Raw genomic sequence first — 23,910 nt, 5'->3', positions numbered from 1 at the left:
AACAGAGAATGTCAGCCTGTGAGCTCTCTTTAAATAAAATTCCCACACATCTCAACAAGAAGGTAAGATCAAAACGAAAGCCACTATTGGAAAGTGATTATTTGCATATTGGCATCCTCACCTCATTCCAAAAAGGACTTGGAGAAGCTTATGGGAATAAACACAATACGGTAGGATAGACCAAGAAATGGCAAACTTTTTTTAAAAAAAGAACAAGGTAGTAAATATTTAGAGCTTTGCTGCCCATGCAGTCTTTCACAACTATTCAGTTTCATCATTGTCACATACATTTTTCATTCCCTGGGGTACAACATTGTACTACCATAGATCCATATGGTTGAACTGAACACACTTGCTGATTTCTGGAAATTATTTTGCATTTAGCTCAGCCAAATAATAGGTTATGGTATTATGGCACAAGGATCACTAAATTCCAGAATAGCAGTTATAAACCTGGTAAAATAAGCATCATGTTTTAATATACTGAATGGTAAAATAAAATTGAACTTGGGGAATGAAGGTTGCATTTAATAGTGAATGGCTCTATGCCAACACGGATTTTTCTTTTTTCCTCTGGCCTACATTCCTCTTTTCAGTTCCCATTCTTTGCAAACAGCACATTCTCTATTCTTTTTGTAACCTCAATTCATGAAAATCCTCTTCGTGCTATTATAGATCCAATCTTTCTAGCCCATTTACAACCCATCCATCTTGTTCTGCCTGGAGACCACTGCAGTATTCGATAGATGGACCCTGATGATGCCTTGCCACGGTCCTTCTGACCCCGACCACCAGTGCCATGAGAGTAGCCATTGTATGAGATGCTGTTCTGTCTGAGACTTGACCAGCCCAGTTGATGCAGCCTCTTCTCCCTGCTCTCAGCTGGCTTCTCCACCTGCCACCTTTTTCCTGTGCTGATAATGTTCTGCTATGTGGGTCACAGTTTTCCAGCTCAGTAGTTTTAGTCAACTTTGGCCCATAGGCCATGCTCCAAAGCTGAGATTTTCCTTCATATCATCTTTCTGATGAGAGTTTGAAAATGAGCTCACCACTTCATTTGATGCAGTGTTAGAAAATAGAGAAGTTGGATCTGTACCTCATTATAAAATGGAACATATTTAAAGATCCATTGTACTGACCTTCCCACATACTTTTATGTCATTGCTTTACCATATGTGATACATACTGTATCAGACTTATGATTGTCATTCGATTTCATTTGTTAGTCTCACATGAAATTCAATAATTAATTTAGTTCACTTTAAATTTACCACCAACTTCAAGTGGAAGCCAGTCCCCTCTGTGTTGGGGGTAGCTCCTGCATGCATGTTGAGTTGTGTTGCCCAGATTCCAGATTGAGAGTCCCAAGGCTGGGGGGAGGGAAGGCTGTGGAGGGGAGTGATCAGCACTGAGCTGAGTCTGAGGCCAGACTCTGCCACTGCATAGCTGTGTGGGCCCCTCTCTGATCTTCCCTGCACCAACTGTGGTTGGACCAGGGCAAGCCACATGAAACACTCAGTATGGAGGCTGACACATGAGGAGCCCTGTGTTGTTCCAGCATCATGAAATTCTCACAGCTTAAACCCAGGAGTACAATGAGGGATCCTGTCTCCATTTTGTAGAAATATCAGCCTTTATTAAAAGAAATCCAATTGACTGCCTTTTCTTGAGTCGATGTATTTCAAAGTCCAGGCATGCTTCCATGACCAGAATCTATGTTTGATATTACTATTGCTTATAAAAGTTAATGCTCTCCTCCCCACCTCCCTTCATCCTTTACCTTGAGTGACAGGGAGCTTCTTTAACTTCTTGACATAAGAGGTAATAGTAGTAACACACTTTTAAGTGCAGGTTTTAAGTGCAGAAGCATAGTTCGGGAAGGTAGTATGTTCAAATGTAACAGAAGGGCAGAATATAACATAAAATCACTCTGTTAAGACTGAACGTTTATCAAGGGGAAGGAAGAATGGGAAATTTAGTGACTTATTTACAAATGGCTATTGCAACTATCACCTAAAGCTCCAGACTTTAGAAAGATTATGGATGGCTTTAGTGGTATTTGAAAATTTTGTGAAAATAGTCAGGATTTAAGAAAAAAATCATTTTTGTTGTTGCTGTTCATAAAACATCATGCTACCATCGCTGGATTTCTCCATTCCCCTCAGTATCAGGGGTTGGAACAACGTGGACACTAGAAATGCAACCCTTTGTTCAGCAGCTACCTGAAAATCAGTGGCCCTTGAGCAGTCTTACCAAGACCTGCCTTTTTGTCAATTATTAATATGTCACCTGTAAAATTATTCTCCTTGTTCTGGAGCTGAAACTTTTACAAATCCTCTTTCCTCGTGTCATGTGGAATATACCATTCAGTTGTACCTGGAGTGCTCTGCTTGGCTTTTGATCTAGGCCTGGCAAAAGTTTTACACATCGCTAAATCATTTGTCTTTTTCTTTGCCTTCACAGGCAATTACATTTTTACAAGTCACACTATTTAATAAGAAAATGACTTACCTACCCCTCTTTTATTTACCCCCCAGTTGGAAGACTCACTGAGTTTATTAGTGAGTCTTAGATAGTGGTATAATGGAAAAAGAAGTTATCAGACATCACTAACAGCTTTAGTTTTTTTTTCCCCTGATTTGTATGCTTTGTGATTCTCAGTGAGATTTCATAGTCTATATTATTACTCAGAGCAAGTGCCACCTTTTGAGAAGGAATCTTAATTTTTACATTTGTTATTTCTCATAATGATTCATATTTTCATAAAAACAGCTCATTAACACTTAGCAGACAATGCTTCTGATTGTTTTTAAACTGTGACAAATGTCAGAAGATATTTTTGTAACATCTAGAACCGTTCTGTCCTTTCCATTTCCATCTAGAACCTGAAATTTCTATTTAAAGGAGCACACCATTTTCCATCTTGTTCTGAGAAAACCCTGATATATGTAATTAGGAGTCCCAGAGATAAAAGCAGCTAAAACAAGTCCCTCTAGACAAAAAGCCTACTGGAAACACAGAGGAGACTGTAGTGATTGACTGTCAGATTCTTTAGGTGATTAGCTGTAAGTGCAGTGCCCAAGGAGCCTATAAAGGGAGTGCAAGGGTGATAAATACAACCCTGGGAAGAATCATCCCTCCATCAAAAAAAAAAAAATCTAAAATTCCTTATTTTTACATGTACATTGCCTAAGGAGGAAGCATAGAATATTAGAAAGAAAACAAGTTTGTAATATGAGCTTTAATGTTTATATGTCTACATTATTACATAGCAGAAACATTGGTGAGTATTAAAAAATTTATTTTTCACCTGTAATATAATAAAAATAAGTGAAATAATATATGTAGGACCTAGGGTTGTTCAAGAAGGAAAGTGTCATCTATATACATGCATCTCCACACTGTAGTATCAAATTCAACATTCTGAAATTTAACTTTTGACTTTACCCATTCAGTGTGTTGCCTCAATAGCATTTTTCATCTCAGTGCATTCTGCTAGTTGCCTGAGCCAAAATTTGGGGGATTTCCTTTTTTCTCTTTCTCTGTCTCAAATTTCATATCTCATCCATCAAGAGAATTCTGTCAACCATATTTTCAAAATGCATCTAGACACTGACAGCTTCTCACCACCTTCACTGCTTTTACCCTGTCCAAGCCACCGTCATCTCTCATTTGGATTATTGCCATAGCCTTCTAACCGATCTCCCTGCTTCTACCCTTGCGCCAAGGTCCAGTCTATTCCTCAACACAGTGGTCAGGGTGATTACTTTAAAATGTAAGTCAGATCATGCCCTTCTTGTATTTATAATCTTCTGGTGGCTCCTTATTTCTCTGACAACAATAGTCATCACCTTTATAATGGCCTGACAGGTTCTACATGTGCTGGTCCCATCCAACCCCCACTCCATTATCTCCCTTGCTACTTCCTGAACTCATTTTCTACTATGAAATAAGTATTGTTCATCTCCTCCAAGTCTTGCTTGATTGCCACCTTCTCAGTGCAGCCTACCATTGTGTTTAGAATTGCTCTCCATTTCTTGTCCACCTTAATCTGTGTATTACAGATACCCCTTACCAGCCTCACTGACTCACTTTCTCGTGGTCTCTTTCTCTCTTTTCCTCTCTGGAAAGGCAGGGTTTTTATCTCTCTCTCTCTCTCTCTCTCTCTCTCTCTCTGTTGTCTGTTTTGCTTACTGATGTTTTCCCAAGAGCCTAGACTAGTACCTGGAAAATACAAAAGAGATGGGAGTGATTGATTGCTAAATTCTTTAAGTGTTTGCTTCTAAGTAAGTACAGTGCCCAAAGAGACTATCTTTTTAGATGGCAATGAAACATATCTGTTGAACGAATGAATAATCAATGACCAGGTTTTTCCAAGAGAACCATTGATGAGGATGGGAAATTTTTCAAGAGTGCTTTGACAAAGCACGTAAACTGGGGTGGAGGTGTCTGATGGTTCCCTTCGTCATCTGCCTGCTCCTTGTACTTTGTGTCTCTTGTAGGCAGAGGCATGACTAATTGCATGACTAACTGGAGTGAGCCGTCACATACCCAGTGGTGTGATGGAAATGGAAAATGATCTTAAAAACTGACAAAGTTTTTTGAAACAAGCAGAAGAAATATGTAGGGAATATGTAGGTATAGGACAGTGCATTTGGAGAGGAAAAACATAGTGGTAAACAGTAAGATAAAACATTAGAGATTTAATTGACCACTCATTGGTTCAAACAATATTAAGAGTATAGAGAATAAAGTTATAAGACGACCCAGGGTGCCTTGAAGAGCTTGGTTTTCTCCATTTCCATTGCATCCACCCCACCCATGAGAATGTTATCTCTATAAACACTGATATGGTTTAACGATGCCAAGAAGCCTTCCTGTGCTTAGGATTTATCTCAGCTGGAGCCACCACTATGCAGATAGATGGCTTAACAAAGTTCTCTAAATGTATAGTGATTTTTAGTGTAGAAAATGGCCATCAGTTATTCTTCATCTCTACAAAGGGCTGAACAGCAGAAAATGTTTTTTTTTTTTTTTTTTTTTGAGACCAAGTTTTGCTCTTGTTGCCCAGGCTGGAGTGCAAATGACATGATCTCAGCTCACTGCAACCTCCGCCTCCCGGATTCAAGCGATTCTCCTGCCTCAGCCTCCTGAGTAGCTGGGATTACAGGCGTCCACCACCATGCCTGGCTAATTTTTGTATTTTTAGTAGAGACGGAGTTTCACCATGTTGGTCAGGCCTTGAACTCTTGACCTCAGGTGATCCACCTGCTTCGGCCTCCCAAAGTGCTGGGATTACAGGTGTGAGCCACCGCCTCTGGCCCCAGAAAATGTATTTCAACTGTAGCGTGATGGCTATAGTTGAGATCAGTGAAATTGTGTTTGCCAGAGAGCGCGTTGATTTTTGGGGAGTAGGTTATAGAAACTCCTGAAGTGAGAACTTTTCTTAATTTCATTCTGCTAGAGCAGTTTGTACCAGCATTTCTCAAAATATGTCACAGCATCATACAGACCATTAAGTAAGGTTACTCTAAATAAAGATTCTACAGTTGTGCATTTCACAAGCACTAGGTTTCAAAAAGTTAAACATATTTCTTTACTGGGGGGCTTCACAAAGCCTTTATGTTGCTCTAAGCCTTGTGAGTTTCCAAAAGGGGCGTATCATGAATGGCATTCCTCAAACTTATTTGAATTTGGAACCCCTTTTTAGGGACTTCTTGTGGATAAATGTTCTTGCAACGTGCTTTGGGAAGTATCAACTTTGATATACAAAGGTGCCTGGGTCACTGGACCTTGAGAGTTCATTTTTGGGCAATGTTTAAACATTTCCTTGCTTGCCTTCTTTGTACCTCCAAAAACAACCGCCACCACAGCATCAACAAAAACATTTTCATATTATTACCTTTTTAGCAATACCACCTGAAAAAGGATTCCTTTGAAACCATTCCTTTTATAGTTTTCAACAAGGCAACAGTAACCTAAGACCTTGAAACCAATTATATTTTTCATTCTATGGAGGCTGTAATTAGAAATGTGTATATAGATGTTTGATACAACAGTGTCTGTGACTGCTGGGAGTCCTGATGGATGAGGGACCCTGCAAGGCCATTCATGAAATGTTACAGTTTGGGGAGGCAAGTTTCACCTAGAAGAGCTCATTCATTGGTATATTATTAATAAGTGGCAGTTTCCAAAGCAAGACCAAAGTAGCACCATATATATCTCTCTACAGGTATTTTTTTCTTTTAACTGGAATAAGTTAAAAATTTGTATCTTCACCTGCTTAACATGATTTAAAAGAAGGCACTCGAGGGAGTTTTCTTGGCCTTCTCTAAGTAGAAAGTGAGATGTGGCTGCCTCAAGACATTGTTACATGCACCTCAGCGGGAACCTTTCATGGAAGGTTCTTACAGGAGAGCTGGAGGACAGAGAAAAGACTTCCTGGAGCTTCCTGAGAAGCCAGTGTGTGACTGCTAAAAAATGGCTGCACTTTTAACAGAACTTCTTCTCAGACTTGCTCTCATTTTTGTATCCCATCTGGTTTTAATTGCCACAGGCCACCAGTATTTACAAAAGAACCTGGCAACTTTAAATGGCCAAATTGGCCCTGTTCGCTTATAACCCAGGACTCTGGCATTTGGTATGAAAAAGTGATTAATTGGAAAGAACATTTAGGAATGGCAGCTTCCCTGACATTGGCTGGAAAATTCTCTCCATTCCAGTCCACCACAGTTCCTTCTGATTTGGGTGACTTCGGCCAGTGAACCCTATTTTTCTGCCTGTTACAGATTTTGGTCCTCACAATGACAATGTCTTCACTTGGGGAGTAATTTATTGCCAAGGCTTGTTGAAGAAACAAGTTTGTTCTCTGTTTCTTTGTCTAAAACATTTTATTTTCTACTCCCTTGTAAGACTTTTCCAAGAAAAATATAACTCCCAACTAGTGACTATTGGATTAAGTTCTTACTTTTATCTGTATGTCAAGCCTCATATAGATCATATAAACCTTCTTGTCTTTTATATACACTTGAGATATTTGAGCTGTTGTGCTTTGGTGAAAATCAGTCTTTTTATGCATGCATCTCCCATGCTCTGAAATGATGAAGATAGGTGTGTGCATGTCTGAACTCAGAAAATTACAAGCATTTGATACCATTTCCAAACATAGGGACCTTTGTTTCCATCCTTTGCTACATTTCATTAGTCCATTAAATTCACCCTTTTAAGCCATGGCAGTTAGGCTGTTTGAAAACACAGTTCAAGGTGAAGGAAGAGCGTTATTCCATCATGTCAATTATTTGTGTAAAGAGCCTTTTAACCATCTTTGTGGAAACAAAATGATCCATCAGGATTTTGTGACCATATGTTTCAGAAGTAGGGATGTGGGTCTTGTCCAATGAGATGCAACATGTTTTGATTATAAAAGATATTTTGATTTTGGGTGAGTACATTGACAGATAACAGGAATCAAATCTACCATGAATAGTAATTCCTCTAGAAGTTCAATCATGGAAGCAAATCTCACCTTTTTTTCCTCTTTTACCTCTTAAGAGTTACTACACTTCTTGTTATATTCATGTGTAGTATCCTTAAAGTAAGCCAAACATATCTCCGTAGTTTGATAAAGTAGGATGGATGATTATCTTTTGGAAGTGCTACTCTAAAACATTTAGATCTTCACTAGGAGAGTGAAACTGTGTGAACTTTTTTATGGTTCTTTCTCCTTATTAATTTTAGATTATAGAACAAAGGGACTGTCTTCTGTATGACAATTCCAAGTGGATAGATGAATCATGCATTTTGGTGAGTGTGACTTGCTTTGTGAAAAAGTAAAACATTTTGTCACTTTCTTAACAGAAAAGAAGTGATCATCCTGCTTTGGAAGACTTTGCCCGAGGGATGTCTTCCTAACAGAAACATTTGAGCTATAGTCATAGGTAGAAGACCGCTTCTCCCAGGCATGGATATTTCCTATTTTCGTAGGAACAAAATGGTTTATGAAAATGTATCTGATTTATCCTTTTCCTTTTTTCTTCCATTTCATCAAAGCTAGATTCATTCTTGGCTTTATTGCATGTTTAAATCCATCTTGGTTCTTAATTGAATCCTTAGAGAGGGAATAAAATGATTAAGCGCTCCTATCTCTCTTCCACACTAGGTCCCCTTATTAAGTTAGAGTTCTTGACCTAGGATTCTGTGGCATTACTTGTGCCACAGTCATCTCCATTTTGCCAATCAAAGCTGGATATGGTAAGCATGATGCTTCAAAGCCCTGACACCTATGCAGCTGGCTGTCTCTCTCCACCCCCTCCTCAGACAGGTTCCCAGCACATGGCTGAGCTTTTGCCCAGATGTTCTCTCTTGATTCTCACAGGCACCCATCTAGTGCACCTCAGGCCACAGCCTCCCACTGAAGTCATGGGTGTCAGGTGGGGGTCCTAGGTGTACCTCACTCAAGCCCCCCTTTCTCCTGAGTCACTCCACTAGGTTAGATCTCAATGCACATGGACACATATCTCTTAGAGCAGCATCACTCTTCTGATTTTCCAAATCCATCTGCCTGTGTAAATACTGTGACAGATATGTTACAAGATTCAGTGATGATCACAGTGTTACATTCCTGAAAAATTCATCATAAACAGTGGAATATTATAGAAAGAAGCTTAGAACAATAACAAGTTAAGAATGTGTGTAGATTTAAATTTAGAAGGCCTTTGACCCACTTACCTGTCCACTTAATTTATTCATTGAACCCCTGTGGTCACTAGAATGTGGATGCTCCTTCACTTTCCTTACTAAGAAGGGCAGTTTCATTACAGTATTTGATTTCATATGTCAAAAGTGATTATTATCCACCCCTCAAGCTCTCTCAGATATAATATCGACTTACAAGTCAGTAACTAAGATCAGTCAAATAAATTATGTTTTATCCCACTGTGATCAGAGGATATGTATACGTCCATTCTTTCAGAGGATGGGTGTCAAGATGAGTGGATGAGGCCAGGTACAGTGGCTCATGCCTGTAATCCCAGCACTTTGGGAGGCTGAGGCAGGCAGATCACTTGAGTTCAGGAGTTCAAGACCAGCTTGGCCAACATGGTGGAAACTTGTCTCTACTAAAAAAAATACAAAAATTAGTCAGGCATGATGGCACATGTCTGTAATCCCAACTCAGGTGGCTGAGATGGGAAAATTGCTTGAACCCAGGAGGTGGAGGTTGCAGTGAGCCAAGATTGCACCACTGCACTCCAGCCTGGGCGACAGAGCAAGAGCAAGACCCTGTCTCAAAAAAAAATTTTTTTTTAAAAAGATGAATGGATGAACCATTTCAAACCTTTCACACATGCATTCAGAGTACTTGACAAGAAATATGTGTTGTGTGCCATAGATCCTGTTGCATCCCTGTAGAGTGTAGAATGCAATCTTGTGCTTGCATTTATCTGGCAAAGTAAACCAATAGCACCCTCTGTTAGAGGTCCTCAGCAGTGTCTCATTTGGCCACCTCCAGTTTCTGGGACATATCTGCCGTCAGTGTGTTTCTGCTATGAAGTCAGATGGTAGAGAAGGCTGAAATTCCTCCCCACACTTGGCATTAACTTCGAATACCAAAGCCACGTGGACTGTGGGAAGAGGACAGGCTTTAGAGTGACTCAGACCTCAGTTTGAAGCCCTTGCTTCTTACTGATTGGATCAACTAAGAGAAGTCTCTCATGCTCTCTGGCCCTCAATTTCCTCACTTACAAAAATGGAGATAATTATACCTACTTTGTAATATTATCATGAGGCTTCAGTGGGCCCATTTAAGTCAAGTGTCTGGCATATGGTATGTGCTTGAAAGATATTTGTTTTTCCTCCATCCTCTACCACTTGCAACTTACTGGGTTGCTTTTACTGCGGCCTGCCCCCTGCCCCATCTGTGTGAAACACACATATAATAATTTGTAAGTTAAACCAGACTTTCAAAGATGTCTTCGCTTACAGCTCTCCCCCATCTCTTTAGTCTTCATCATACTTTTTTAAATTCAATACATAGCTTTCTAATGCCTTTTACATTTTTGTTCAGAACCACAAAAATAAAGAAAGTTCATTTCTAACTTTTTCTATGTCATCATAAATTCCTGTAATAGTTGCATTCTAATCAGGAAAATATTTATTCACCAACATTTTTCTAATTTACTTAATTACCTTATCTCCTCACTAGTGCTTGCTTAAAGTGAATAGAAATTTTTGCACTGGACTGATATTTTTCAATAAAGTGCCTTCTAAAAGGTTTTTGCTTTTATTTTTTAAACATTTTAATACACACTTATGCAGAATATAACTTACATTTCCAAGTAAAGTTAGAAATTAGTTTATTCTCAATTAGAGTAAAGCAATCCGGGAGCTTCATGATTCCTCCTCACTTAATTCTGAAAGGTAATTGCTGTTGTGAGAGAAGACGTTTTAATCTCAGGAACTGGTGTTTGCAAGAAGGATCAGACTGTTGATTAAAAACAAATCAAACAAAAGGCTCTGTGCAAAAAAAAAAAAAAAAAGAAGTTCAGAACCAAAGACCAGAAATCTAAAATGTCAGTTTATAAATCCTCTGATTTTAATCGGCCTTCGGTGCTCTGTTCATTAGTACATCTGGCAGTGCCTCTTGGCAAAGAAAGTTTGGCATGGGAAAAAGCAATGTTTAAATTGGCTTAGGGAAGACATCAAGTATACAAGTCTACTTTTGTCTCTGAGGGGGTATAATTTCTTCATTCATTTCCCCTTTTAAAAATTTACTCCCTGTGCATTTATGAGTAAATTTTAGAGCTCATGAAAGTGAGGAAATGATATCACCAGCCTGAGCCAACTAGAGAGTGTGGGTTGGCAGCTCTGCTTTTGAGATCCTGAACCTGAGCCATTTTCTGTCCCAACTCAGTGTTCACATTATTTTCAGACAAGAGGAAAAAAATGTAAATGGCACCTTTCCGTGTCTACATTTGAGATGTGGGTTGTGCTCATGTCACAAGAGGACTGTCCCTAAACATCTCGCAGTGTGACCTTGTGACCACTGGGGCCGGAATCAGGGTCCCTTTCACCAAGGTGTGTGGCAGCTGTAACAGGCTCTGAGAATCGGCTTTAACTTTTCTTACTCTTTTTACCCATAAGACTGCCGCAGGATTCCCTTTGTCCCCACATTACTGTCATGGAGCTAAGATTCTAGATCTTGTTTGAGTCATAAGAAGTGGTCTATTGCATTTAATCATTGTCATAGCAGTAAACGTTCAAAACTTCCTCTTCTCCAGCTATTGAGAAATTGGTTTCAACCCCATTTGCCAGATAACAGAGCTCTCTCAGATTGATGTTGGTCTTTATTATTTCAATATAACATTTTAAATTTCTTATAGCCTCGGTGGCCTTAAACAGGGTGCTTCACTCGAGGGCTGAAACATGATGGAAAGACTGTGATGTACAGGACGAAGCCAGGGATGTGCTGGAGCCAGCTCCTAGTAGCTCACACCAGCCCGAGCTCCGATCCTTTTTTGAGGTCCACATTTCTGCCCTGTCCCCGTGTTTTCACTCGCTGGTCAATCCATCAGATTCCTGGCAGGAAACACATGGTGCGACCAGTGAGGTGATTGAAGAGAGTTTATGAAAGGACCATTTCCGGTGATGTGGGTAGTATTAGAGAAGCCACGGGCAATAGTGACACCTACCAGATGGCTTGAAGGGGCAGAGGGGAGGAACAGCCACCCAGCACCTGCTGAGAGCTGTTGCCATGAAGAGAAATCCAACAGGAGCTGTGCCTGTAGATAGGCGAGACCGGCTACTGCCAGAGTTGGAGGTGGGAGAGGCTGTTAAAACTTAAATGAAAGCAGACACAGCAGTGAAGGCCAGGTAGGCAACAGGGCCGCTTAGGGCTCACTGTAGCTTCCCAGAGAGAGTGAGACAAAGGCACATTTGTGCAGAGCTCAGGCAGAATCCAGTTGCCCAAAACAGTCAGGCACTTTCTGTTCCTCTAGCTTTGCATGGGCCATGCTGGTCTTGAAAGCGTTCTTCTTGGCTTCTGAGTTAGAACGTTGAAGATGAAGTCAGTTCCCCATCCATCAGATGCGGTCTGTATTATCTTCAACTTTGATAGCCTCAGTAGACATAAGGGCTTTTGTGGATTCAAAGTTCACAATATTTTAAATAAACCTGAGACCTGGATTTGCTCAAGTGGAGGCTGACAGTTAACATTTCCTGTAGATAGCAGTAGGGGTGTTGTGCCAGGAATCTAGATAAATTTAAACATTCATTGGTGACTACCATCAAGGAATCCGTAGTCTAACAGAGGAAGTAGACCCAAAAACAGATATAAAAAGGAGAGCCTAAGAAGTGTTCAGCCATACTAGCTGTCAGCCTGGCAAATGCCTTAACCCCGGGGCTGAAGAGGGGAGCTTTACTGTCATCAGCTTCCCTGTGGATTGATAAATTGGAGGCAGACAGCTAGATCCTAGGGCTGCCAAATAAATCCTTAGGATTGAAATATAACTATGCAATACTTAGAATCATGTGAACATACTTGTACCCTAAATGCAATGTACCATTTCTCTGAAACTTGTTTAGAGGTGAGAAAAAAAATAGTAATGATGACAATAATTACTATAATAAGCCTATTTTCCACCTCTCTGGAAGGGAACAGCCTGCGGTGTGTATCATCGGTGTTGAATTGGGCAGGAAGGAGCCCTGTTTTTATTAACACCCACACACTGCTGGCCAGGTGCATACATGTGTATCAAAGTGTGTGTGTGCGTGTCTTTGCCTGTGAATTGCACTTTGAAAGATGAACTGGAAGTATGAAGAGGAGGGGATAAACCAGAAGCTACTAGGCTGGACGGTTTCAGGAGCTGGATTTCCTCTGAGGCAATTTACGGCTCTGAGAAAAGCCCTGCTCTTCCCTTAGCTGCTTGGCCTGATGTGTATTTGTGCCGATGGTGACTGAGCGACCCTCTCAGCACCCCCGTCTGGGTGTTAAGACAGGATTTTCACCTCTTTGCAGCTCAGGGGGATGCTTTTCTCTCTTCTTCCCAACCAGAAAAGAAAAATCAAACCTAACACCTATAATAGCGAATCTATCACACATTTTTCCTACAGATATAACAGGTATATAGGTATCAATTCCTTTTCTTTTGTCTAGTTGATCACCAAATTAAAGCTCAGAGAAGTAAATTATTTTGTCTGAAGTTGCAGTTAATCAAATGTCATGTATTATAATGGCTGTGTTATTAGCTGTCTTAGTTCTCATATCTCTTCTCTCCCTGCTGTCTTTGGGAATAAGTGAATTTCCATTCGTTCTTTGTCCTAAAAATGAATGACCATGTGTACTTTGGAAAATACCATGAATTTCCTCTTTTTTCTCCTCATATTTTGTTAGGGTATTATTGAATCTACTAGGCTAAAAGAAGCTATAAATTATTTAGCCAATTTTGTCACATCAGTGATCCACAGGATACAGAATCGGGTTCCCTCCTAGTCTGTCTCATTCTAGAAAATTTAGCCATGTCCATGATGCACTTTTTTTCCCAACTTTACAAGTCTCTGCTTGGCAGATTGATATGTTTTTCAAATAAGTATGTTGTTCTTGAATATTTTTAATCTCTCTTGACTGAATGGGGATGAGGAAAGACAAAGCGTATTGTCATCCATTTAATTTGAAAATAGAAATTTTTTCATGAGTATTAATTTTCTCAAAATGAAATAAAACAATGAAACTTTATTGAGTTTGGGCACTGTGCCACTGTCTTCCATTTCCTGTTTTAAAAACAAAGGAAAACACCCCACAAGATTAGCAATGTAGGGTGGCGGGCTGTGTGTAAGCTCATAGCTCACAACGCCCAAAAAATGGACTTCAGGTTTTCAAGAAATCTTTGTAATGACCCAACTACATTCAACGCTCAGGCATACTTGCCTCCTTTTATAGTTGAGGCACCTTGAGGATGGAAGGGATAATATTGCCTGTCCAAGTACCAATGGTGTATCGGTGGCAGGGTCACTACCTGAGTCTGGATGTGGACCCTGAACACTCACTCACGTTTCTTTCTATGCATAAGGGACCCTTTAGTCACTGCCATTAGGTGAAGGTCAGTTCCATAGCAAAGTGTGCAAAACGCTCATTATCCACTTGCTGACATGACTAGTCTTATTGCCTGCTTTGTACATTCCATATCTTCTCCCAAGAATGTGCCTAGCTGTGACCACCCCTCATTCCCAAATTTGTCTTCCTTGTAAACGTTTATTGATATTTCAAGCCCAGATGTCACCTCCACCAAAAAGCCCTCTCTGCCTGCTCCCCTTCTTCTACCCAGTTTTTTCCTCTGTATCCTGCCTGATACATTTATTCACTTAATTGATTTATTCAGCAAATATTCACACCGGGCACTGAGCTAAGCAAAAGTCGTTCACCAGTGAACACAAGTCAGGAGCACTCTGTGCTCATGGAGCTCACATTCTAGTGAGGCAGACAGACAATAAAGGCAGTAAACACCCAGATACACACGTAATTACAACTAGAGTGATGTCATGAAGGAAATAAAGACTGTGCTGGTGTCTGAAGAAACTGGTGGAGGAACAGATGAACACGCAGCCCTGTGGCTTTTCCATGTGCACATCAGATTTCTGGGGGAGGCTGATCGCTCCTTGACTCTCCCCCCATCTCCGCATCCCCAACAGCAATCAGTGCCATGGGCATCCTGCTCACTACGGGTGTCCGTGAGTGAGGGGGGGGGGCAGGAAGGTTGGCTGTGCTCCCAACTGACACCCACCACTGAGATGAAGGCACCTCCCAACCTGGTCCAGCCTGGGTGACAGAGCCAGATTCAGTCTCAAAAAAAAAAGAAAGTGAACACCCACCGTAGTGAGGAAGGTGCGTTGGAAGGGTAAGAACGTGTGATGCTGGGGATATAGAGAGAAGCCTCTTTCAGATTCCCAGTGAGGGCTCTTTCCCAATAACCTTGATGAGGGGCCGTGGGGTGGCTCATTGGGTAAAACAGTATCTAGGGACATGGATAACAGCCTGATCATTGTTCTGTTTATACCTGCACTCTTAATTCTTAATTCTTAGGATGAATTACTAGGGTGTATTACATTCTCTTTAGAAACTTCTTTGGGAAGACGTGAATAATTTTGTAAAAAAGTATTTTAGCTTTCGAAGCATGAAAAGAAGTAATCAACTATCTCTATAAAAGTGCACCTATAAAAAGGGAATAGCAACTTACTACCCAATAATAAGCTCAGAGTGAATGAGGAACATTTGACAAGACACTCTTTATTTGGGGTCTGTTTTCAATTGTAAGAAGAAATACTTGCTCTTGATATACAGGATTCTTGTGAAGATTTTTTAAAATTATGTACTTGAAGGTAATGCTTATATAGTGTTGGTGGGAATGCAAATTAGTTCAGCCACTGCAGAAATAAGTTTGGAGATTTTTCATTGAATTAAAAAATAGAACTACCATTCAACCCAGCAATCCCACTACTGGGTGTATGCCCAAAGGAAAATCATTCTACCAAAAAGATGCCTGCACTTATGTGTTTATCACAGCACTTTTCACAATAGCAAAGACATGGAATCAGCCTAGATACTCGTCAACAGTGGATTGGATAAGGAAATTGTAGTACATATACACCATGAAATACTAAGCAGCCATAAGAAAGAACAAAATCATGTCTTTTGCTGCAACATGGAGGCTGTTAAAGGCCATTATCCTGAGCGAATTAACACAGAAACAGAAAACCAAATACCACATATTCTCACTTATAAGTGGGAGCTAAACCTTGGGTACACACAGACGTAAAGACGGGAACAATAGACATTGGAGACTCTGAAAGGAGGGAGGGGAAAGGGAGGCAAGGGCTGAAAAACTTGCTATTGGGTACGATTTTCACTCTCTGGGTGGCAGAAACAATAGAAGCCCAAGCCTCAGCATCACACAATATACCCTTGTAGTAAACCTGCGCATGTACCCCAAATTGAAAATAAAAATTTAAATTTAAACAAATAAATAAACTATACAGTTTAAATTCTCAAATTGAAATGTACTTTCTAAACCCAAAGTATAGTCTAAATTAAAAAGATAGCTTGCAGCTTTTAAATAAAATGAATTTGTTCTTTTTTTTTTTTTTTTTTTTTACCCTTTTTGGTCAGTTTTGGTAGATCATGAGTTGAAGGCTTGTTACATAATCTATTTTTTTCTTCCTTTAAATTCTGGTTCCTTTAGGTCAAAATGAGATCATTACTTATAGATCCATTAATTATTTAAGGGCAACTGTCCAAATCATATGGAATCACTCTCAGAAATTGTATTACCCTATATATTTTAGTCCGTAAAACAAATATTTTAATAACATCAAGGTGACAAGTATCCCAAGATGTTTAAAATCGTTATACTTTGTATAGTTAAAGTATTTGTAGCTTTTATTAGGGAGTTTTATTTACATTTATGAAATTCTTTTACTTATTCTTTTCCAATTATTAAAAATAATAGACTTTAAAATGTTTAAAGGAAACATTAAAAGTTGAAATATGGACAGTCTATTTGGTTTTTTTCTTAAACTTAAAAAATACATATTCTCCAGTACATTAAGTTTTGTTTTAAATATAACTCTCTTCAAATGTGTCTATACCATAAATACACATGGAAATACAAATGAGTTTTTACAATGTCATTGCAACATATTATCAGTAATAAACAGAAGTTTTTTTCTGTTAATTATAAGTGACATAAAAATCTTTGCAAATAAAGATATATAATAACAGAGGAGGTTCTTTGTCAATTTAATGAATTATTATAACGATTTTTTATTCAAAAAATCAATGGAGTAAATACTCGCTTGCCAGCCTAATTTGAGAGGTGTGAAGGTATGCTTCAATTCAAATGATTCTCTCTCCATTGGCATCCCAAATTTTATCATTAGTATTTGATTTTCTTGATGTTAAACTTTGCTTCTCCTGGTGAATTTTTTAAAGAAAATACATTATATTTTGGGAAGATATAATTAAATTCTCTGCAGTGCCTTACTGCATTTGATTTTAGCCAGTTGCTTTGCTCTTTGAGAATGGGGTGTCTGGAAAGACAGGGATTCTGAACGGAGCCAGAACCAAGAAGCAGGGTTGCTGTAAATCCAGCCCTAAACAACAGGTAGCGGTCACTGACTGTAGTGGGCCAATATCCATGTTTCTGGGTGGCAAATGTGTGTCAGGGTACATGTGTATGTTTTGACATGCCAGCCATTTTAGCCCGTCAGCTTTCTCTGTTAAATTCAGCACGCCGGTCAAAAGGTTTATATTGGTCTAATTTATTCATTTCTTCATTGAGAACCTGAAAGTGAAGGAGATGGTTAAATGCTGCCTGAAGTGGAATTCAACAGAAGTTAATGTTTCCTTCACTATTGTGTGTTTCAGAGACTGGAGCACAAGGAGGTTTTAGTCGGCTTGTTGTTCCTGGTGTTCCCGTTCATTCCAGCCAGCAACCTCTTCTTCAGGGTGGGTTTTGTGGTGGCGGAGAGAGTCCTTTACATGCCTAGGTAACTATTGCACGTGACTTCCTCCTACAAGACCTGCCCTCTGTCACCAACATTGATAGTTCCAGAGAGACAGTCTTCTGTGTGTAGACCATTAGATCCTCATGGGACAAGGGATATTATTATTTCAGCTTTAAAAACAGCCACACAGAAGGTTGGATGAGAGCAAATGTCCACACATGTACTCTTGTTTACAGTGGTTTACCTTCAGTTGCAAACTTTATAGTTTAAATGTGAAATATTAACTTGAGTATATTCAGGATTTTAGTAGTAATCATTTATCACTACATCTATGTCTAAATGGGTGTTATTAAACAGAATTATAATACTTTTCTAGAAATGTTTTTTGACTTGCATAAAAGTATTATGTTCAGTAGCATGATTGTAATTAACTTCTTTTGTTCGTTCTTTTTTCTTCAATTTAAAAATGGAAGCAATCTCAAGAAAATTTGTCCTTGGGAAAAGAACAATGATTTAAAAACTAGAAAAGACATTCAAATGTGTGTGATTACATAATGCCACTTAGCTCTGAATGTTTGAACTGTGCTGAAGCTTGTCTGTTCTCTTGTCTTATTCCAATGTCATTGTTCCAAGGCCACTTTTCTTTTCAGATGCTTGAAAATGTCACTGAATCAGGAAACCAAGTCTTGGTTCTGCCATTTATTGGTTGACTGACCTTGAACAAGACACAAAGCTTTTTTTGCCCCCAGATTTTCTCATTTTTACAATAGAGATTTTAGTAAACTCGCTAAAATTAACACTTTGGACTATGATACTGCCTTTTAGGAAAGTTCATTCTTCTTCTATAAGTATGAACTTTCCTAAAAGGCAGTATCATAAACCAAAATGTTAGGAGGAAATGAGTGTTTTTTATTTATGATATTGTACTAGAAATTTTAAAACACTTATAATTAGAAGTGAATTTCATAATCTTTGATTCCTTCAAACCAAATACCTAATAGCTTTCTTAACACTTTGCAGCATGTGGTTTTGACTTGGTTAAGGGGAAAGCAGCCCTTAATTGTTTACTGTGTCTTCAGCCCAATTTGGGAAGGAGATGAGTGCTTGATAAATACTATTCAATAAGGACAGAAATACAACACAATTCTTTATATTCTACGTGGTTTAAGGTAAGAGTCTTGTGAAGGCTTGCCAATAATAGGGAATACACCTGTAGTATAGAAGACCAAAAAGTGGCATCAATCTGTGTTCTAAATATGTTTTTGCTTAGACCAGTTGAATATATCTTAGCTTTTCTTTGTAGTACTGATGATTCCAATGGAATCATTCTTCATTTGATAGATATTCATAGAGCCCCTCTGCCATAAATGCTCTACTAAAATCTAGTGCTACACAAGTAAGTGAATCTCAGTGTCTGCCCTCAAAGAGTTAACTGCCAATTAACAAAATGGAATCTCTCATATTAAGCGTTTAATAGGTCCTAATATTTTATAAATACTATTGTATTCATTAATGCTATTTTGTCATTAATTGCATCAAAATTTTATTGCATTTTTATTATATTTCACTTACTATTATAAGCATGTTATATTCTTTATGTCAAGTAATTCACACTGTAGTAGTGGGTCACAGCCTGCCCCTGAAGTCAGAGGGCCTGCATTCAAACTCTGGCTTAAACATGATCGTGATTCCTCTAAGCTTGTTTTCTCATCTGCATAAAATGGAAATAGTAATAGCACCCAACTCAATGACATATTGTGATCATTAAATGAAACCGTTATAGGGCCAGGTGCAGTGGCTCATGCCCCAGCACTTTGGGAGGCTGATGCATGTATATCACTTGAACCCAGGAGTTTGAGGCCAGCCTGGGCAACATGGTGAGACCCTGCCTCTACAGAAAATAACAAAAACTTAGCCAGATGTTGTGGGATGCACTTGTGGTCCCAGCTACTCAGGAGACTAAGGTGGGGGATCTCTTGAGCCCGGAAGGTTGAGGATGCAGTGAACCATGATCGTGCCCCTGCACTCCAGCCTGGGTGACAGAACCAGACCCTGTCTCAGAAAAAATAAATTTAAAAACATGAGATGCCAGGCGCGGTGGCTCAAGCCTGTAATCTCAGCACTTTGGGAGGCCGAGGCGGGCAGATCACGAGGTCAGGAGATCGAAACCATCCTCGCTAACACAGTGAAACCCCGTCTTTACTAAAAATACAAAAATTAGCCAGGCACGGTGGCGGGCGCCTGTAGTCCTAGCTACTCTGGAGGCTGAGGAAGGAGAATGGTGTGAACCCGGGAGGCGGAACTTGCAGTGAGCTGAGATCGCGCCACTGCACTCCAGCCTGGGAGACTGCAAGACTCCGTCTAAAAAAAAAAAAAAAAAAGAGATGATTATATATAAAACTTAGAAAGTGTTTTGCATTATATATGGTCAATAAATACTAAGTATTTTTATTGTGATATCAGTTCCCTGAGGTAGCTGATAACATTATTGCTATTTTACAAAAATAAAACCTGGGCTCTGAGAGGTTGGTTAACTTGCCCCAAGCGGTATAGCTGGTGAGTGGCAGAGCTGGAAAACACATCCCTGTCTACTACAGATCTCTTACCTTCCAGACTATATTGCTTCCCTGATAGGAACATCTTAGTATTCTTCTCAATTACAAAATAAGAAGAAAATCTACACATAGTAATGGACTTTCGGCTCAACTCATGTGGTGATCAAGCTTCTAAGAGCCCTAATATCTAGTTCTTCAGGAGCTGGGGGTTCTGGGTGACAAAGATTTGTAAGCTCAGCAAAGTGTCATCTAGTTTAGATACAGGAGAATAATTTGTGAGGAAATAAAGGCAGAGTGAAGGGCTGGAATTTTTAACTAGACATTTAAATTTGATTCTTCTGAAAGAGACCTTAGGTAAATGTTACGGAAGCTCATAGTATTGTCGCCAACCCTTTGTGGGGTATCTTATTGTAAGAGGTTCATCTTGCCCGGGCAGGTATATCCTCCAACCCCCAGAATCATGCCAGCTCCGGCTTTTCCCATGCTGCCATATCTTAAATAAACCTTTCTATGACTCCAGTTTATTTTTTCCTAGGAATAAAATGCCCTTTTTCCTCTAGGAATAGGCTGATTTGGGTTAAAATAAAAGTACTGAAAAGAAAGCATCAATATTACCAACAGCAAGTGCCTGCCTCCCGGAACCAACCTCGGTTTTGCTTCATTTGCCAAATTCGGTAAAGAGGCACCCAAAATCAATTTCAGTAAACCAGTTTTCATTAAAAAGATGACTGTCCTTTTCTTTCCAAGTTCCTGCATCTATGCCTTGCAGCATTATCACTAAGTCATCTTTTTCTGAGTGTTTCTCTTTACTGCTTAGTGAATCCTGGACTAACACGTACCATCACCATCCCAGCCAGGCTACTTTCCCCCTCCGGAGATGCCATCTCAGCAGATGCCAGAGCCACCGGAGCAGAGGGTGGAGGTGCTTTCCTGACCCTTAGAGGTGGTCTGGGGGCTGACGAAAGGGTCAGGTCACTCAGCCAGGTTTACAGTCCTGACCTCATTTGAGAGTTTAACTTGGATTTCGGGAAACTGACACGGGAGGAATCTTAGGAATATTTGAATGGGATGCTGTACCTCTAGTGAATCCATCTTTCTTCACAGTCATTATTGTAACTAAAACTGCAAGGGAGCTATGTTCCTTTTGGCCCTGGATTCCCACTGGTATATAGAATTGTGCAATTGAGGTGGTCCAGGATGAGTTGGAAATTAAAGTCTGGGTAAGGAAACTTCTGTGTTGTGGCTTTAGAGAGTCTCTGATGACTTCATCAAAGCCATTTTATAAATATTGACAGTTTTCTTTGAAAATGGGGGACTAGGAAAAGATTTTACCTACCAGTGATGAGCTGTCCCTGTCTTAATGGAGAATAGCAAACAGTTGAGCTAAGAGTTTCTGAAATCTTCCCCAGAGCCACGGAGGATTTTACAGATGCTATAGGCATCCCGTGGATGTGTCAGAGCACTGGATAATGCCTGTTCCATTTAATAAACCTACATATAGGTGTTGAGAATGGTAAGAACATGTTCAAAATGTTTTTTTTTTTTAACCCAGGAATCATATCTTCATGAATCTCCTTCCATCCTGACCTTGACAAGAAACAGCCATTTTCCACAGCATTAGTATCCAGGCTCTTTTGAGGGAAAAAAAAAAAAAAATATATATATATATATGTATATACACACACACACACACACATATATATATACACATATATATACACACACATATATATACACATATATATACACATATATATACACATGTATATATACACATATATATGGTGTACTCAATGACATCCTGAAAATATAGATCATCACTTTTACGCAAAAGCTCTGTGTTGTCTCAGAAACTTTAGTGAACAATAGGAAAATGAAGTCAAAGGCTCAGTTGGTAATCTTTCTAAAGAAGGTGAACTTTCTGCTCATCAAATATTTGTTTCAAGCTATTATGAAGCCAAATCCTAGCTTTAGTTGCTCACACATGAATTTCACAGAAGTCATGTCCAGCCTCACTGAAGCCCGGGTGAATCCCTTCGATCCCAGGGGGCTGATTTGGCCATTTTACAAGAAAAGTGCAGAATGAGTCAGACCAACAGTGCTCTCTCATCCTCCGCCTTTATGCCTAACAATGAACTAGCCACTTAAATCTTGTGGCTTCTGTTCCTGCATCTCAACCCAGAAAAGGTCTGAAATATCACCTTCCTCTCATTTGCACTTTGAAATCTGTGGATAAAAGGGACAGAAATAGGCTATCTGCTTAGCATTGCATTGCTTCAGGGTCAGAGTTTACCACCAAAAGAAATTGGAATAATCTTTTCTTCTGGTGACAAAGCCAGTTTTGCAGATCTCCTTTTTGAACAGGCAAGAGAGTTTGGGGCTGAAATCATTCTTTTATAGAAATTTTGATCTTTTATTTTTTCCCAACAGAAGCATATAATTTTATGGCTATCTTTTTTGTGTTTTATAAAAACCACATTAAATTGCTACAATGAACTAAAATTTCTTAGAATGGATGAAGCAGAAGTAGTTGATGGTAGCTCTCAAATAATGTTACAGAAAGTGACTGAATATTCATTCACATGCCAGATTAAGGATGATTTATTCACTTCAGTGCCAAAGAGCAAATTCCTGTGCTACTTTAGGAAGACTTGAATGAGTAGAGAGAGGAAAAGAATGAATGGGAATAAGTGAGGGCAGAAACAATATTTTGGGATACAACTGATCAAGAATGACTGAGAAAGAAATAAAAGGCATTCACATTAGAAAAGAAGAAGTTAAATTGTCCTTGTTTGCAGACAACATTAAATTTATATACGTAGGAAACTCTGAAAACTCCACTGAAAAACAGAACTAATAAATGAATTCATTAGCGTTGCAGGATACAAAATTAACTTACAAAAATCAGTAGCTATTCTACACATTAACAGCAAACTGTCTAAAAAAGAAAACAATTCCATTTGCAATAGCTACAAAAAAATACTTGGGAATAAATTTAACCAAGGAAGTAAAAGATCTCTACACTGAAAGCTATAAAACATCAATGAAAGAAATGGAAGAAATAAAATTCAATGAAAAAATTCAGTGAGAAACGGAACTTTTTTGAGAAATAAAATTCAATGAAAGAAAAAATTGGAAAGATATCCTGTGTTCATGGATTGGAATAATCAATATTGTTGAAAAGCCCAGAGTGATCTATAGATTCAGTGCGATCTTTATCAGAATGCTGTCTTGAAATCATACCTCTCAATTCAAAATGGAATTTTCAGTCTAACATCGATTGCTATTGAAACAATTCTGTAGGATTTATTTCTCAGAATGCAAAAGGAGAAAAATTACCTCTGAAGTTACACAGCCTCTGTTACCTGATTTTGGGGATCCCTTCTCATGATCCATCTGTGTATTTGTATGCTTCTTTGGAGTTGCTAGAAGAGAGTGAATCCGTTTTGCCAAATATTAATATCAACAGGGAAATCACAGAAATTTGCTTTAGCAAATCTAATAGGAAGAAAGCTGAACTAGGACTCCACGCAGCCCTATCTGTCGCCCACTGGCTAGCCGTCTTGAAAGAATCATTGAATAGGGTCAGATTACTGTTTCTCTGTTTGTAAAACCAGAATGTTGGCCTTGCTCTGTAGTTCCCAAATGGTGGTTTTCACTGGTTTGGAGATAAACTATGGGGTGAAAGGAGAAAGAAAGACAATGTGGTGAATTTTGCATAAAGCTAAACCTATGCAGTTTTATAAAACTATGAAATTTTATCTTTCCTATATTTCTGGTATTCTTGTCATGATGATAAGAGCAGCAGGAGGTAGATGACCCTGCATCAGTTCCTTCTCCCCCATTCACCCCCATTTTTTGG

At 39.1% G+C, this 23,910-nt stretch overlaps 1 protein-coding gene across 10 annotated transcripts in view; it reads left to right on the top strand.

The window, feature by feature from the left end:
- TMTC1 (transmembrane O-mannosyltransferase targeting cadherins 1) overlaps positions 1-23,910 on the top strand; it is a 283,947-nt gene that overhangs the window by 163,047 nt on the left and 96,990 nt on the right. For all 10 annotated transcript variants that reach the window (NM_175861.3, XM_047429634.1, XM_017020005.2 and 7 more), the window contains one exon: positions 17,414-17,535. In NM_175861.3, the coding sequence (NP_787057.2) occupies positions 17,414-17,535 (122 nt within the window). The remainder of the gene's footprint in view (positions 1-17,413; positions 17,536-23,910) is intronic.

The sequence above is a fragment of the Homo sapiens genome, chromosome 12, assembly GCF_000001405.40.
Source record: "Homo sapiens chromosome 12, GRCh38.p14 Primary Assembly".
NCBI lineage: Eukaryota > Metazoa > Chordata > Mammalia > Primates > Hominidae > Homo > Homo sapiens.
The sequence above is the reverse complement of the archived record's forward strand: the minus strand, read 5'-3'. Positions and strand labels throughout refer to the sequence as shown.